The 15651-nt window shown below is 51.0% G+C and overlaps 3 annotated features.

Moving 5' to 3' along the window:
• Positions 116–617: an enhancer, noted in NCBI's record as "H3K4me1 hESC enhancer chr16:50699127-50699628 (GRCh37/hg19 assembly coordinates)". NCBI's record gives its function as "activates a minimal SCP1, AML or CMV promoter by ChIP-STARR-seq in primed H9 embryonic stem cells {active_cell/tissue: H9 hESC(primed)}" and the evidence as "EXISTENCE:reporter gene assay evidence [ECO:0000049][PMID:30033119]".
• Positions 191–280: a silencer, noted in NCBI's record as "silent region_7488". NCBI's record gives its function as "represses an Ori minimal core promoter by ATAC-STARR-seq in GM12878 lymphoblastoid cells {active_cell/tissue: GM12878}" and the evidence as "EXISTENCE:reporter gene assay evidence [ECO:0000049][PMID:35858748]".
• Positions 11279–11459: a silencer, noted in NCBI's record as "fragment chr16:50688285-50688465 (GRCh37/hg19 assembly coordinates)". NCBI's record gives its function as "represses an EF-1alpha promoter that drives an FKBP-Casp9 reporter gene in an ReSE screen in HepG2 liver carcinoma cells {active_cell/tissue: HepG2}" and the evidence as "EXISTENCE:reporter gene assay evidence [ECO:0000049][PMID:32094911]".

Genomic DNA, 15651 nt, shown 5'->3' with positions numbered 1-15651 from the left:
TAGGCTCACTGCAAACTCCGCCTCCTGGGTTCAAGCGATTCTCCTGTCTCAGCCTCCTGAGTAGCTGGGATTACAGGCGCCCGCCACCACGCCCGGCTAATTTTTGTACTTTTTTTAGTAGAGACGGGGTTTCGCCATGTTGGCCAGGCTGGTCTCGAATTCCTGACCTCAGGTGATCTAAGCTATTTTTACTGGTTTAATCTTATTCCCTTTCCACGGGGCAGGTCTGGAGAGACCGAGAGGATCTGATCCTGCAATTTAAAAAGTAGACAGCAGATGGCGCTGCCGCCTCGGCGGCTCCGAACGCATCGCCGCGGTGCGGGCGGAAAAAGCTGAAACAGCTGGGAAACCGAAACTTTCTCCAGGCTTCTGAAAGCCCTTAGACGGGATTTGAAATCATGCTGGAAAGAGCTTTGCTGCCTCTATAACCTCTCCCCAGCAAGTGTTTTGATGGGGGGTCCCCGGGCGACCTCCACTTGGGGTTTGGGACCTCACTCCCTTTCTGCCCCTCCATCCTCTTCCCTCAGCCCAGAAGCCCCAAAAGGCGGAGGCCACCGCCCTCCACTTCCCGCAAGCGGAATCCGCAGGGTTTCACAAGAGAGGGCGCTGCAAATAGCCAGTATCAGCGCCCCCAGGAGCAGGATCGGCCATGGCTTCCGAGAACGGGCCTAACTGCGCCTCTCTCGGTCTGGGGGGAGAGGCCCTTCCCCAGTAAGGCCCGCGCCACGTCGCTTTCCAGGGGGAGAGATTGAATAACCTGCTCCTCCCAGATCCCATCTCCCACCTTTTCAGGACCCAGATGGCGTGGGGGACTCCCCACCCATCTGCCTACTGAACTGGGGGAGTGAGAAGAGGACTCCCAGAGGACACCACTAGTGACCTTTTAATTCACCAGTAGACACACAAGGCTATAGAGACTGTGAGTAATGTGGGTTGGATAAATAAGTATAAGAAAGGAAAATGGAAGGAGGCTGGGAGGAAAAGAAAAGAGAAATGACGTTCCCTGCTTGTTAGAGTATAAATGGTACAACCACTTAAGAAAACCATTTGGCACCATTCCTCAAAGCTGAACGTAAACTGTCCTGTAAGTACCCAGCAATGCCGCCCTTAGGAATATACCCTATAGACAGATAGGCAAGCATGCTCACCAAAAGACATGTACCACAACTGCACAGCAGGAACAGCTCCTGATACTGTCCCCCAGCTGGAAACAACCCAAGTGTCTGCGAACCATAAAACAGAGAAGGGACTTGGGGTATTCTTATGTGGAACATGAGGCAGTTATGAAACAAGCTATGCTTGGACACAAGGAAGTGGATGAACCTCACAAGAGACTGCATGAAAGAAGCCAGACACAGACGGATGCAGCCTGTGTGGTTCCATTTCCTGAAGGCCAAGGGCAGGTCGGACTCAACCAGAGGGCTGAAGCATGCTTGCTTAGATGGCAAAACTCCTGTACTAGGGTTCTCCGGAGAAAAAGAACCAAGAGCAGAGATAGATATGGATATGGACATATAGTATATGTCTATATATTTGCATATAATGAGATTTAGTATAAGCGATGAGCTCCTAGAATTATGGCGGCTGAGAAGTCCCAGCATCTGCCATCTGCAAGCTGGAGACCCAGGAAGGCCGGTGGTGCAGTTTGAAGGCCTGAGAGCCAGCGAGCTGACAGTGTAGACTCTAGTCCAGGTCTGCAGGCCTGGGAACCAAGAATGCTAAGAGCAGGAGATCCAGGCTCCAGCTTGGCGATCAGAGAGGAGGCAAATCCAACGGTCCTCTGCCTTTTTTGTTCCGAACAGGCCTTCAGTGAGTTGGAAGATGCCCGTTCACATGGGGGAAGACCGTCTGTCACACTCAGGGCATCAACTCCAATGCTAATCTATCCTAGCAGACATACCCAGAAATAATGTTTAAGCAGACATCCGGGCATCCCATGGCCCGGTTAAGCTGACATAAAATTAACCATCACAACTCCTGAAATTAAAAAAAGCAGAAAGGGTTACTATAAAAGTTGAGATGGTGGTTATCACTTCGAGGGGGTGAGGAGGTTTTGACTGGGATGGGGACAGTGAGGAGTCTCAGTTCTTACTCTAGGGTGATGGTTGTAAAAGTATTTGCTTAGTAATAATTTGTTAAGCTGTACACTTTTATGCACTTTTCTCCGTGTGTTCTATTTCACAATAAGAATATCTTAATAGGCTGGGTGCAGCAACTCACACCTGTAATCCCGGCACTTTGGGTGGCTGAGGTGAGAGGATCACTTGAGGCCAGGAGTTTGAGACCAGCCTGGCCAACATAGTGAGACCCTGTCTCTACAAAAAGAAATTAAAATTTAAAAATGTTAAAATTGGCCGAGTGCGGAGGCTCATGCCTGTAATCCCAGCACTTTGGGAGGCCGAGGCGGACGGATCACCTAAAGTCAGGAGTTTGAGACCAGCCAGGCCAACATGGTGAAACCCTGCCTCTACTAAAAATACAAAAATTAGCTGGGTGTAGTGGTGGGAGCCTGTAATCCCAGCTACCTGAGAGGCTGAAGCAGGAGAATTTCTTGAACTCAGGAGGCAGAGGTTGCAGTGAGTCGAGATCGTGCCAAGGCCCTGCAGCCTGGGCAACAGAGTGAGATTCTGTCTCAAAAAAACAAAAAACAAACCAAAAAACAACAGAAAACAAAAACAAAATGTTAAAATTTAAAAATATAAATATGTTAATAAAAGAATAAATTGGGGCAGCAAATATAAAGTCAATATTTATTAGGCACCAAGTATGATAGCAGTCAGACAGAGCTAGAGTTTGAGCCTGAGGCGAGCACAGTGTTCTGACCCCAAAGCCCCAGATTCCCTAAGGAAAGAATCAGGAATAGCAACCAGCTAGGGGGCCAAAAGTTCCTCACAGGCACCTCCTTAACATACTAGTGTGTGGTGAATTGCAGGGATGGCCTGGGTCTTCATCCCTCGTCTCCATGCCATTTGCCACACACATTTGCAGTTCTTGTCACTAAACAAGCACGGTTAATTTCCCTCCCCTTTGAGTCCGGGCTGTCCTGGACACTGGCTTCGGCCCATGTCATGTGGCAGAAGGGACAGTGTGCCAGCTCCAAGCCTTGGCCTCAAGAGACCTCGTGCATTTCACTTGCCCCCTTGAGCTTCTGTTGTTGTCATGAGAAGAAAATGCCCAGGGTATCCGGCTGGAGACACAGGATGAGGTGACACATGGATCTGAGCCAAGGGCAGCTGAGATCCGTTGACGCCAGCCCACTCCGACATGTGGGTGAACTCAGCCAAGATCAGCCAATTCTCAGCCATGTGTTTTGTGAACTCAAATCAGATGTTATTGTTGTTTTGGGGCTGTTTGTTATGTAGGAATAGCTAGCTGATACATTGTCTGTAGACAGTAGTGAGATCTGGGGATGTGTTGGCACAGGGTTCCTGAAAGGACCTGTCTGGGATAGGAAGTGATCAGCACCAGTCCATCCAATGCTCCTGCCTTCCCTGGATTCGCTCTGAGACTCCAAGCAGCCTCCACATAAATATAGCCACCAATTACCCATGCCTTGTATGTGGAGGGCACTCATGCCAGGCCCTGGCTTAGTACCTTATGAACTTGGCCCACTTAACCCTTACAGTGGCCCTATGAGGTAGGCCTTATTACTGCCCCCATTTTAAGGTGAAAGGACTGAAAACAAGAGCTTAGCCCACAGTCACATGGCTTGTAAGAGACAGAGCTGGGATCTGACTTCAGAGCCTGTGCTTTACCCACTGTGCCACCCTGCCCACCCATCCCAGCCTGCTCTCCTTGAAGCCTCTTCCCCAGCCTTGGGATGCCAAGCCTCTGGGCTCTCAAAAGAGCGCCACCTCGTCCCCATGCTTGCTTTCTCCTCTCTCCCAGGGTCCCCCAGGGCCCCAGCATGAAGATCGTGCTCAGCAGCATCATGCCCCAGAAGATGAAGGCTCCTGTGGATAAACATGAGGCCACTCTCCAGGAAGCAGTCAGCAGAAAGAACACTTAATGACAACCTCTAAACAGGACGAAGGCTGTTGGAAGAACATTTGTCATTCTGATGGAGAATCTTGGGATATTTGGGTTGGAAGGGATTACAGAGCTGCTGCAGTGCAAGGTACAGACTTTTTTTTAAGCCACAGAGTCTTTTCTTCAAATGGAATTTGATACAGAAACTCAACATGTAAAAGAGGCCAAAGCCAAGTTTTTCTAGCTGGGAAGCAAGGGAGCTCTGCCTTAGGCCTATCGAGGGCACCCCTAGGCTTTGATGGAGCACCATTTGGGAGCCACTGGGATGGTTTTGCTGATGGAAAAAGAGCCTCAGAGCCACAGAAGGAATGAGTAGAAGAGCAAAGACTTGAACTCAGCTCTCCTACCTCTTGCCTCTAGGGTTGTTTTCCTATTCCAAGTGTTTAGAAACAAAAGCATGCACCCCAAAAGAAAGGTGTAAACCTGATTTCTTTTTTAAACATGAATTTTTCAAAATGACGCATGTGGAGGCCAGGTACCATGGCTCATGTCTGTAATTTCCAGCACTTTGGGAAGCTGAGGTGGGAGGATCCCTGGAGGTCAGGAATTCAAGACCAGCCTGGGCAACATAGTGAGATGCCATCTCTACAAAAAATTAAAAAATTAGCTGGGCATGGTGATGCATGCCTATAGTCCCAGATAATTGGGAGGCTGAGGTGGGAGGATCACTTGAGCCCAGGAGTTCGAGGCTGCAGTGAGCTATGATTGTGCCACTGCACTGCAGCCTGGGTGACAAAGCAAGACCCTGTCTCAAAAAAAAAAAGTCTTGGAGTCATTGGGATGAAATCATCCAGTCATGAGATTTCAGGACCCCACTTCTATACAGCATCACCATGTTTAGCAGGAGGGTCCACTGAGACCCTTGGCTGTTTTCCTTGGGGGTCATCTCTCATGACTCCTCTCCCTGCACCTCACTGCACAGCCCTTGTGTAGCAGGCTTTCGGCAGAGCAGCCCTCGCCAAGACAGATTTTCCCCTGTGTCTTTGCAGCCTCTTTACTCCGGGGCTATGGGCAGGCTGCAGGGGTTGGTCTACAGGTGTGATGAGATGCTCCAGAGCATTCCCCAGGTGGGGAGGAGCCAGAGGCGCCCGGGAGGGAGCACTGAACCGCGAGTCATGCATTAGGTGTCTCTGGGTTTTTCCTGCCTGGCTCTTACTGGAAATAGCAGCTGGTTATTCTTCTTCAGGAGGACATCCCTCCCTGATTTCATTCCACAGGGTTTAGATGAACTGGAGCACTGGCTGCACTTGGGCCAGTCCCTCCACTTATTGGGGGCTCCATTTCTCTACTTGTAGATTGTATGTTTCCTGGGGCTGTGGTAACAAACACAAACTGAGAGGTGTAAGCAAGGTCTGGAGACTAGGTGTCTGAAATCTAGGTGTTGGTGGGGCCATGCTCCCTCTGATGTTTTAGGGAAGAATCTGTTCCACGCCTCTCACCTGGCCTCTGGCAGCTTCCAGCAAAACTTGGCGTTCCTCGCTCTGTAGCTGCTTCACTCCTGTCTCTGCCTCTGTCTTCACATGGCCTTCTCTCTTCTGTGTGCTTCTGTGCCCGAATCGCCCTCTGATTTTTTTTTTTTTTTTTTTTTAGAGATAAGTGTCTGGCTATGTTGCCAAAGCTAGTCTTGAACTCCTGGCTCAAGCGATCCCCCTGAGTAGCTGGGATTACAGGCATGAGCCACCATGCCTAGCAAATTCCACGCCTAGCAAATTCCTCCCTTCTAATAAAAATACCAGTCACTGGATTAGGACCCACTCCAAGCCAGTATGACCTCATTTGAACTTGGTGACATCTTCGAAGACCCTATTTCCTAATAAGGTCATATCACATGTAGCAAGGGTTAGGGTTTGAACATATATTTACAGGGAACATAATTCAACCCACAACAGAAACGAAAGGGTTGTCCTAGGAGCATGCTCACCTGACATCCCCGGATTTTCTGAAATAAGTGATGTTTCAGGGACTGAACCAAATGGTAGTTGATCCAGCCTTATCTGCAGTGTCAAAGCTCTCACCCTTTCCCAGAGGGCCCCACAGCACCCTGTCTGGGCCACTCTTAAAGTACAGCTCCCTTTCTACTTCCTTTCCTCTATTAGAGGGCGGGATGGGTCTGTTTCACTCCTTATCCATTGGCCCCTGGACCCACATCTGGGGGTGGCGGAGCAAACACCAGGCCTTGAATCCACCTCCCAGTTTTTTCAGTCCTACCTTCCAATATGGCCCAACTCACCCCATCCCCCCCTCCCCAGTTCCACCCCGCCCAGGCGCCACTGCCCCCAAATCTAACATCTCCTTCACCGTTTCCTTCCTGCCTTGCCTCCTCCAATCCACTCTCCACACAGCTGTCAGACAGCCCTTTCAAAATGATAAATGGATCATCTCACTCCCTGGCTCAAAGCTTTCACGGGATTCCCCTCATTCTTAGCATAAAGTCCAAGCTTCTCCACTCAGCCTCCATATCTGGCCTCATCTGGCCCAGATGACCTCTCCCACTTGTGTCTGCCATCTTTTTTTTTTTTTTTTTTTTTTTTTGAGACAGAGTCCCATTCTGTCACCCAGGCTGGAGTGTAGTGGTGCAATCACAGCTCACTGTAGCCTCAATCTCCCTGGCTCAAGTGACCCTCCCACCTCAGCCTCCCAAGGAGCTGGGACCACAGATGTGCACCACCATGCTTGGCTAATTTGTTAATTTTTTAAAAAATTTAAAAAATTTTGTTGTGGAGACAAGGTCTTGCCATGTTGCCCAGGTTGGTCTTGAACTCCTGGCCTCAAGCGATCCTCTGGCCTCCACCTCCCAAACTGCTGAGATTATGGTTGTGAGTCACCGCACCCAGTCTGTGTTTGCCCTCTTGATCCTCAGAAACACTGACCACTTCTGTGGGGTGTTTTGCTCCTGTTGCTCCACATGCTGGCTGCACTCACTAGGCCTTCCCTGACACTTCTCAATCTTTTTTTTTTTTTTTTTTTTTTTTGAGACAGGATCTCACTCTGTCACCCAGGCTGGAGTGCAGTAGCAGGATCTCAGCTCACTGCAACCCCCACCTCCCAGGTTCAAGTGATTCTCCTGCTTCAGCCTCCCGAGTAGCTGGGATTATAGGCGTGCACCACCACGCCTGGCTAATTTTTGTAATTTTAGTAGAGACGGGGTTTTGCCATGTTGGCCAGACTGGTCTCGAACTCCTGACCTCAAGTGATCCACCCACCTCAGCCTCCCAAGGTGCTGGGATGACAGGCGTGAGCCACTGCACTCGGCCATATCTCCATTTTTAACAAGAGGGAAGCCCCCTCCTGCTGCTTAGGGCAGGCCACAGTTGTCCAGCTAGAATCGATGGCCACGTTGTTTTTCACTGCATGTATTTTTGTGGTGGTTTTTCTTATTATGGGCTGATACCATTTCTTTCATTTATGGTGGTGACAGAAATGTTCCATATTAAATGGAAAGCAGGGTCAGGTGATGGTGGATATGGCAGAAAATGTGAAGGAGGCCTGAGGGAAAGAAGGTAGATTCTGAATTCTGATCCGGCCCCTGATCCGGAATGGATGCTGAGGCCCAGAGAGGGAAAGGACGGGTCTGGAGTCACACAGAGTGCCAGGGGCAACACCAATTCTCAAGCTCGCAGCCCAGCACTCCTTCCTCTGAGCGTTCAGCTGTGCTGGGCTCCAATGCATAATGAATGGAATTCTGAGCTGCCGCTTTCCTCCCAGAAACCCCTCCCATCAAGTCCCTTGGGGACCCTCTCCCCACCTCGGGGTCCCTTGGCCCATTTAAAAACCCAGGCTGCAGGTGAGTGTGTGGAGTACATCCTTTTTAACAATACTCAGACAAGCAAGTCTGGTGCCTAGAAATCATGTTTCTGCTTTGAAACCTGCCACTGACTGCCTTTCCCAATTTCTGCTTAGCAAATCTTCACAGGCCGTGTTTTAAATACTCTTCCTCCTTTTGCTATGATCAAAGGAATTACTTGTTCCCCTGATAGGTGACAAAAGATGTCAGAGAAACGAATGAGAGAATGTGGTTGCAGCCCCCTTTCCTTCGCCTGGAGGAAGGAGAATCGCAAGGCATCTTGGGCTGGGTGGCTTTTAGCATTGAGTAGAGTGGGGGTGCAGAGATAAGGGAGGAGGCTGCAGGCAAGGGCAGAGGAGGGGTCCTCAGGCAGGCTGATAATTTGGCGCCAGTAGTTGACATCAGTTGGGTGGGCTGCTCAGCCTGCATTTCCCCTTCTCCCGGGCAGAGCTTCCTAATTTTGCTTTAGGGTACCCACCCTTCAGGAGGCACTGACTCCATCCCCAGAGCTGGGGCTGTGTGTATGACTCAGACCTGGCCACAGCGATGGACTTCAAACTGGGCATGTGACCTAATCAGAACCAAACAGGAGCAATCTTGGGCTTTTTGAGATTGACTGCTCAGAGAGGGAGAAGACGCCCCTTCCTGCTGGGCTTGGGGTAGGGCTGTGAGCCTGGAGCTGCAGGGAGTTTGGCCAAGAGGAACTTCGGAAATGGAGCCAAAAGATAGGGTGGGAAATGGACAGATGCTGAGTCCTGTCCTGATGATCTCAAACTCCTAGATCAAGCTGCATCTGACTATGTAAACTCTCTTTTTTTTTTTTGAGACAGGGTCTCAATCTGCCACCCAGGCTGGAGTGCAGTAGCACCATCTCAGCTCACTGCAACCTCTGCATCCCGGCTCAAATGATCCTCCTACTTCAGCCTCCAAGTAGCTGGTAGCTGGGACTACAGGCATGTGCCCCCACACCTGGCTTTTTTTTTTTTTTTTTTTTTTTTGAGACGGAGTCTCACTGTTGTCACCCGGGCTGGAGTGCAATGGCGCAATCTTGGCTCACAGCAACCTCTGCCTCCCGGGTTCCAGCAATTCCCCTGCCTCAGCCTCCGCAGTAGTCACCACGCCTGGCAAATTTTTGTATTTTTTGTAGAGACGGGGTTTCACCATGTTGCCCAGGCTGGTCTCAAACTCCTGAGTTCAGGCAATCTGTTTGTTTCGGCTTCCCAAAGTGCTGAGATTACAGATATGAGCCACGGTGCCGGGCCTGAACTGTCTTTTTTGATTAACCTGTTACTTCTTTTCATTTGTGACAAAAGACAGTCATTTCTGATGATCTTTTATCACTTGAACATGTATCTTCAGGCACCTCACCCCCTGCAACAATCCCTAAGGACTTGGCAAATACAGTTTTTTCTACCTCTAGCCACATTTCTAGGCACAATTTCAGCCCCTTCCAGCCTCATCACAGGCCAACACTGGAAGAGTCTCTATTAGAGGCCGCAAGTACAGACTGGGAAACTGAGGCCCTGTGTTGGTCCATTTTGCATCACTATAAGGGAATACCTGAGGCTGGGTAATTCATAAAGAAAAAAGATGTATTTGGCTCAGCGTTCTGCAGGCTGTTCAGGAAGCATAGTCCTGGCCTCTGCTTCTAGTGAGGACCTCAGGAAGCTTTCACTTGCAGTGGAAGGTGAAGGGGAGCGGGCATCCCATGGTGAGAGAGAGGGCAAGATAGAGACAGAGAGAGATGCCAGGCTCTTCTAAACAACCAGCTCTCCTATGAACCTACAGAGAACCTATTCATTACCATGGGAAGGCACCAAGCCATTCATCAGGGATCTGCCTCCAGGACCCAAATGCCTCCCACCAGGTCCCACCGCCGACACTGGGGATCATATTTCAGCATGAGATTTGGATGGGACACACATCCAAACCTTATCAGGCCCATTCAAATGGGATACCACAGAAAGAATTCCTGTCGTAGGTCACGCCTTTGCTGTGATCTCAGCCTGGGTGTCTTCCCACCCAGCAGACAGCCTGAAAAAATGATCAAAAGTCCTTGCAACCCTGTGAGTCCTGCAACCAATGTCCCTCTCCTTGAACCTGACAGTCCCACTATACAGGTTCGGGAACTGAGCCAGCAGGGACAAGGAACTTTGGCATGCCTACTCTCACCTCCTTATCCTGGCACCCACTCAGTGCTTCCTCCTTCACTTTTCAGCTAGGAGAGAGGGAGACTGACAACACTGATTATGCTTCTGGATCCAGCCATGCCTGAAGGCCCTAGAGCTAGCTCTTGGATCTTTCCAGAGCCAATCAATTCTCTTTTAGGCATAAACCACATTGAATTTGGATTCTGTTACTTGCAACCAAAAGAGTCATGATTATGTAGCTGCCTTCAAGTCTCTGTGGGGCTGTGTGTCTGGGACAAAGACAGCAGTCCTGAAAGTCAGGAAGGCCTGACACAGGGAGATCAGGCTGCCCTGGACCACCCCCACCCCCTCACAGTTATCCCAGTGGGTTACAGGCCCTGGTAGCAGTTGGGGTTGAGGAAAGGCTGGCAGCGTGGGGATGCAGTGAGGATCAGAATGAGCAGGGTGGGGCACCAATGCCAGGGCAAGGTGCTCTGGGAGAGGGGCTGGTTTTCCAAGAACTGGGGGCATAGAAGCCTCAGACCAATGGTTCTCCAAATATGGTCCTTAGATCAGCAGCATCAGCATCATCTGGGAATTTGTTGGAGATGCACATTCTCAGGCCCTGCCTCAGACCCACTGAATTAGCAGCTCTGGGTGTGGGGCCAGAAAGGTGGGTTTTAACAAGGCCTCTGGGTGACTCCAATGTTAACTGCTGCTTGAGCGCCACTGCCTCAGACATTAAATGAATTAAATATGCTCAGAGAAGAAAACAAATTATTTAGTATTGAGAACAGATGTGGGGGGCCCAGAATATACTGTTCACAAGTGTCTAGGGGACCCTTCACAGCTACAGAGGCTGGGCTTGGATAAGGACCCCCGCACTTCTCCCCACAGGCCTGTATCAAGCAAGGTGGCAAAGCAAGGAAGGGCCACCACCTCCAAGTCCCTCCAGGCCCATTCTCCTGGGCCTCCTCCTGAGGACCCTCCTCCACCAAGGAGACCCCATACGACAGCCTACCTTGTCTGGCACACAGAGAGGAGGGGATGGCCCAGGGGCTGTGGGTGCCAGGCAGGGGTTGACCAGATGACCCTGAGCCTGTCAAACTAGGATCACACCAGCCAGATCCCTGAATCCAGCCCTCCCTCCCTCTCTAACTCCAGTTCAGAAACTCTGCCTTGTAGTCAGAATGGGCTGGGTTCTGTGGCAGGAATGTAAGTCTGCATACAGACAATAACCTTAACTCTCCATGGCTTCACATATCACAGGGTACTTCTCATGCTCACAAAGTCCAGGGCAATGCAGGCGACTCTCCAGGATAATTTCTTTTCTTTTCTTTTTGAGACAGGGTCTCACTCTGTTGCCAGCCTGAGAGCAGTGGCACAATCACGGCTCACTGCAGCCTCGACCTCCTGGACTCAAGTGATCCTCCCGTCTCAGCCTCCTGAATAGTTGGGACTGACACCCAGCTGATTTCTGTAACCAAGACGCTTTTCTTCCATGCCACAGCTCAGCAAACCAGGCTCCTCCTCTCTTGCAGCTGTGCCATGTCAACATGAGGCTTTAGGGGCAGAGAGAACTAAAGAGACACGAACTGGCTCTTAAATACTTTCATCCAGGCACTTCCACTCCCAGCCATAGGCCAGAATGAGCCTTATGATCCCATGCAGGCAGGAGGAGCTAGAGCGCAGGGGGAGTGTGTGCAGAGCCAGCGATCAATAGAAATCTGTCACCTGCCTGCTGGATGCCACCAGCTGCGGTCCACTCTGCTACCTCCCATGGGATCACTACCTCTCAAAACACCTGTTGGGGACTGACCTGACATAGACCTGGCACTGTGCTCAGCACTGGCTCTCCCATAATGACCAGGACAGACATGGTCCCATCCCATTCCTTAAGGGGCTCATATCGGAGAAGGGAGGGGATTGAACAGTCCCTCCTCAAAGTTCCTGGCCCCCATTTCTGTGTCCCTTTTTTGTGAGCATCACCATCCTTCCTGACTCACAGACCAAGCTTAGTCAGCTCTCAACCCTGGAATGAGCCTCAGTTTTCTCATCTGTACAATGGGGATAAAAAGAGACTTAACAGAGGTCATCTGATGATCATGAGAAAGCAAGTCTCCAATTGGTGCAGCCTAAACAGCCACCAGGCAGTGGGACCAGGATTCAAGCTCCATCATCTGATTCCATCGCTCGAGTCTCTTCTGTGGCCCTTCCTCTTCCTCCTTAGCTGGGTGGACCCTGCAGAGTTTGCCTCAAACATTGAAGCTTTTGCTAAGAAGGAGGGGATCTGAGAGTCCAACTTTCCAGCCACAGCCAAGGTGAGCCGGGCCTGGCCTTGAGCCAACTTGGTCCCCTGAAGACTGCCTGAACTAGCCCAGCCTGATCCCCAAGGCATCCCTGGAACTGGCCCTGGCTCAGGTCATTCCAGGAGGGCCACAGCAGCTGTCCTTCAACCCAGGACCCAGACAGGGCCAGCTCCAAGCCCCTCACTCCCACCACCCTTTCTCCACATGTAGATGTGGTCAAAAACCTTACCATGGGACTGGTAAGGCCACCACGGCCACCATTAGAAACCTGATCCCGAGTTGCTGATTAAAACCAGGAGGGGTTTTTAATCAGCTGAGGCCATATGCTATTTAACCAAAGATGAAAGCACGAGTGATAAGCATCGTCTCAGAAAGGATGTCATTAAAGGAAGAGCAGAACAGCAAGAGGCAGCTTTTATCATTAGAGAAGCCCCTTGCAAAGCTCTCGTGAGGGGCTTCGGGGAACATCTGGGCTCGGTCTATTATGCAGTACTTACAACGTCATTGTGTTTGACAACGGCTCCTGAGCCCACGCCACACTAAACTTCTAAATATACAATTAATGTCTATTAATTATAGTTTTCAAATCAGCAAAATGAGCCTTCATTAACTTAATCGCCTCTTCTATTTTATCAGGAAATTGTACTCTTGGTGTTCATAATCCCCGCATCTGAAACCCCCCTTTGACAGGCGGCATGTGATGCTTGGCTGACTGTTTAAGGGAAGGCCTGCCTGTCCTCCCCGCATCTAGGCACCCCGCCTAATCCACCCTCGGCCATGAGACGTGAAGCCACTGAGGGCCTCCGAAGTATTCCAAAGGGTTTGTGAGCAGGCATGTGGTCCGGGAGATGGTGTTGGAAGTGAGGCGGCAGCTGCCATCATGGTACCTGGTCAAGCTGGAGCCCAGCTCAGATGGAACTGAATCTGAACCAGTATGTGTTGGGGGGATGATGTGGACAGGAAACTGGCCACTGCCTCTTGCATCTCTTTGGACCCTAGGCAGCCCTCCTTCTCACTGTCAGCAGCCTTGGGGATTATCTCGCTGCTCACAACAGCCGGTGTCTTATGATGTAATTAACCCCATTGCAGACACGGGCAAACTGAGACTCACAGAGGGGAAACGGTTTCCTCAGGACTGCAGAGCAAATTGTTGGCCATGCTGAGCCTTCAACTCAGCTCATCTAATGCCCAAGATAGGGCCTCACCCTGAGTTTGCATATATAATGGAGGTCACTGTTTTTCAGTGGACTTTCATCTTCTTCTCTCCCCTTGGCATGAAGAGTGCTCCCCTACCCCATGGCTTTTGGGCTTGGCCATGTGACTTGCTTTGGCCAATGGGATGGGAGTGAATGCCATGAGCTCAACCATGTAACTTGCTTTCACCAGTGGGAGAGGAATGAATGCAACGAGCTTGGTGGTGCGGCCTGCTTTGGCCAGTGGGATGGGAGTGGATATGATGAACTTAGCCACGTGACTTAGTTTGGCCAATAGGATGGGAGTAGATAGGATGAGCTTGGCCATGTGACTTGCTTTGGCCAATGGGATGGAAGTTAATATGATGAGCCTGGGCCATGTGACTTGCTTTGACCAATGGGATGGCAGCAGATACCATGGGCTTGGCCACATGACTTCCTTTGGCCAATGGAACAGGAGTGGGTATGATGTCCACCATAGCCCCTTCTTCTTGGGTGATCAGGAGATGTGCAGAGAAGAGGGGTGGAGAGAGAGAAAGAGAGAGAGCAGGTGAGAGAGTCTTTGGACCTAATTGGGTCAAATGCCTTAGACAACTTACACAACTTCCCAGCTTTACCGTCCTCTGGAATAAAATGGACGTGATAGAAAGGCTGCCTCCTGGCCGGGCGCGGTGGCTCACGCCTGTAATCCCAGCACTTTGGGAGGCCGAGGCGGGTGGATCATGAGGTCAGGAGATCGAGACCATCCTGGCTAACAAGGTGAAACCCCGTCTCTACTAAAAATACAAAAAATTAGCCGGGCGCGGTGGCGGGCGCCTGTAGTCCCAGCTACTCGGGAGGCTGAGGCAGGAGAATGGCGTGAACCCGGGAAGCGGAGCTTGCAGTGAGCCGAGATTGCCCCACTGCAGTCCGCAATCCGGCCTGGGCGACAGAGCGAGACTCCGTCTCAAAAAAAAAAAAAAAAAAAAAAAAGAAAGGCTGCCTCCTAAGGTTGCTGTGAGGATGAAATGGGCAGTGCTTTGCCTGGAAGGCTGGAGAGTGGCTTTGCCTGGTGGGATTCTGGCACCATGGCACCTCGCACCTCAGAGGGCCCAGAGCAAGGAAGTGGCTGTACCCCAACCCCAGCTCCATGGGTCGGCAAGCCCTGGACTGTTCAAACCCTATTACAGCCTTCTATAAATGCAGATCGTCTTTATAGTTCTCTCCCCTTGGCTCCAACTTTGTTTCCATTACCTTATTTTAAGCCCATCACCTCATCTCATTTATGCCTTATAGAAATTTATGGCTAAGTGGGGACAGCAGACAGGCAGCTGTGATCTGAGGCCTCTGCAGGAGGCCCAGGAGGGGCATCTACCCAAGGCTTGGGGGTCAGGGAGGGCTTCCTGGAGGAGCGGGGTCTTGAAGAAGGAAGGGGGCAGTTGTACTAGAGACCCACGGCCACCTGTCATTTCAGCTGCAGCTATTGAGGACAGTCTAGCAAGCACAGACTCACCTCATCCCAGCAGAACTGTACCTGGCCTTCCTGCCCATTCCCTGGGGCCTTCTCCAGTCCTGCAGGAAGTGAAGGGGCATCAACACCCCCAGAGACACCCCCAAGACTCAGGCTGGGGCCAGTGGACACATGCTCCAGCCTTTCGCCCTGCAGCCAGACACCCCAGGGTCACTCTGTCCTCATCCTAGAGGGCCACTTTCTCTAATGGTGACCTCAGCAAGGCACCCTCATGTCACTTTGTCACCTGCCCTCTTGTCCTCCTGCCCCATCACTCCTCTCTTGAGCATCACCCTACCAAAAACCTACCCCCAAGTCTCTGTCTTAGGCCAGGCCTTGGGGAACCCAGGCTCAGGCCAGGAGCAGCTAGGTGAGAGGTGAGGACAAGCACTGCAGGGAGAAGGAGCAGCATATTCTGGGCTGGAAGAGAAAGGAAAGTCCTCCATTGTTTAAGGGTTGTCAGGGAGCACAGGGCAGTGGGTCAGAGGGGAAAGGCAGAAAGTCATGGAGGAGACAGGAGACAGGGAGCTAGTGGCTCCTGAGGGCCTGGTCTGCTGGGCTGGGAGCTGAGCCCTTGTCCTGAGGGCAATGAGATGGGTTTGCAGTAGGAAGTGCCATGGTCAGATTGGCGTTTTTGTTTTTGTTTTTTGTTTTGTTTTGAGACGGAGTTTTGCTCTTGTTGCCCAGGCTGGAATGCAATGGCGTGATCTCAGCTCAC

Source organism: Homo sapiens, chromosome 16 (genome assembly GCF_000001405.40).
Source record: "Homo sapiens chromosome 16, GRCh38.p14 Primary Assembly".
In the NCBI taxonomy this organism is placed as follows: Eukaryota; Metazoa; Chordata; class Mammalia; order Primates; family Hominidae; genus Homo; species Homo sapiens.
The sequence above is the reverse complement of the archived record's forward strand: the minus strand, read 5'-3'. Positions and strand labels throughout refer to the sequence as shown.